Source organism: Homo sapiens, chromosome 4 (genome assembly GCF_000001405.40).
Source record: "Homo sapiens chromosome 4, GRCh38.p14 Primary Assembly".
Taxonomy (NCBI): domain Eukaryota; kingdom Metazoa; phylum Chordata; class Mammalia; order Primates; family Hominidae; genus Homo; species Homo sapiens.
Genome location: NC_000004.12, coordinates 46,728,199 through 46,730,081, shown reverse-complemented (window position 1 = coordinate 46,730,081; position 1,883 = coordinate 46,728,199).

Below are 1,883 nucleotides of genomic sequence, written 5' to 3'. Positions count from 1 at the left end.
TTCCCAGACTTCTTTTCACACATTTTGTAATAGTGTCTCTTCTAATTTCCCAACTATCCTGTCAAGCCCTTTGCTGGAACCCATGACTCAGTGTAGAATTGTATCTTTGGCCATCTCTCCCTCCAGGCAAAATGAACAACTATGTACATTATTTAATGCACTGCCCACCAGGAAAATTTCCCTTTTCCTTTAGGGCCAACATGGAGTTAAATTACATGGCTGAAGCTGTCTACATTCAGGTATGGTCGGTCAGCATATCTTGCAGAACCAGACTTGAATTTTTTCTTCTTTGGACAGCTCATGATAGGAAGTCCTACTTGTAAACTTTAGGTTCAAAGTGACATGAAACTTTCTTAAACACACAGCTTACAAAGAATGGAGCCAGGACTCAAGCCCATATCTCCCTGGCTTTAGAATCTGTTCTTTTACTTGCATGTTACACTGTTTACCAGTCTTTCTTCATATATGTAAGTGGCAAGTTCTGTAGAAGGATTCAACTCGAGCTAGAAAAGACAGGAAGTCATTGTAGATTGTTGTAAAAATTATGGGAAGTAAGATCAAGAGAGTGCATCAGACTGCAAATGGGGATATAAAATACATATGGAATATAATGAGGGGTTTTTTTGTTGTTTTTTGTTGTGGTTTTTTTGTTTGTTTGTTTTTTGAGATGGAATCTCAGCTCACTGCAACATTTGCCTCCCAGGTTCAAGTGATTCTCCAGCCTCAGCCTCCCAAGTAGCTGGGATTACAGGCACGTGCCACCACGCCCAACTAATTTTTGTATTTTTAGTAGAGACAGGGTTTTGCCATGTTGACCAGGCTGGTCTCGAACTCCTGAACTCAGGTGATCCACCCACCTCGGCCTCCCAAAGTGTTGGGATTACAGGTGTGAGCCACCACACCCAGCCTGGTTTTTGTTTTTAAACAGAGTCTCGCTGTGAGGCCCAGGCTAGAGTGCAGTGGTGTGATCTTGTCTCATTTGGTTCAAGTGTTTCTCATGCCTTAGCCTCCCTAGTTGCTGGGACTGCAAGCATGCACCACCATGCCTGACTAATTTTTTGTATTTTTAGTAGAGACAGCGTTTCACCCTGTTGCCCAGGGTGGTCCCAAACTCCTGAGCTCAGGCAGTCTGCCCGCCTCGGCCTCCCAAACTGCTAGGATTACAGGCATGAGCCACCACGCCTGGCCATAGTGAGCATTTTTAAATGATAGTTTTCTTAACTTTATCTTGAATATTTTCTGATTTGAAATTAGGATTAAAGTCTACCTCTTTGGGTTTATATATCTATATATGTAAGTTCATGTCTGAGGGAGAGAGAGTGTGCATGTGTATGTATCTATATATCTGTCTTTATAGATAGGTATAGATATATATGTATACATACGCATAAGTATTTTTTTTTTTTTTTGAGACAGAGTTTCACTCTATTGCCCAGGCTGGAGTACAGTGTCACGATCTTGGATCACTGCAACTTCTGCCTCCCGGGTTCAAGGGATTCTCATGCCTCAGCCTCCCAAGTAGCTGGCATTACAGGCGTGCACCACCATGGCTGGCTAATTTTTGAAATTTTAGTAGAGATGGGGTTTCACCATTTTGGCCAGACTGGTCTCAAACTCCTGACCTCAAGTGATCCACCCGCCTCAGCCTCCCAAAGTACTGGGATTACAGGTGTGAGCCACCACACCTGGCCTACACATCTGTATTTTTAAGATCAAAATTATTTTAGGAGCATATATATGCCTAAAATTATTATTACATCTAAATTTTTGGCCACAGATTTCTTATAATCAAACTTAGATGTTGATTTTAGTTACTGTTTCTTTTCTTTCTTTCTTTTTTTTTTTTTTTGAGAAAGGGTCTCACTCTGTCACCCAGGCTGGAG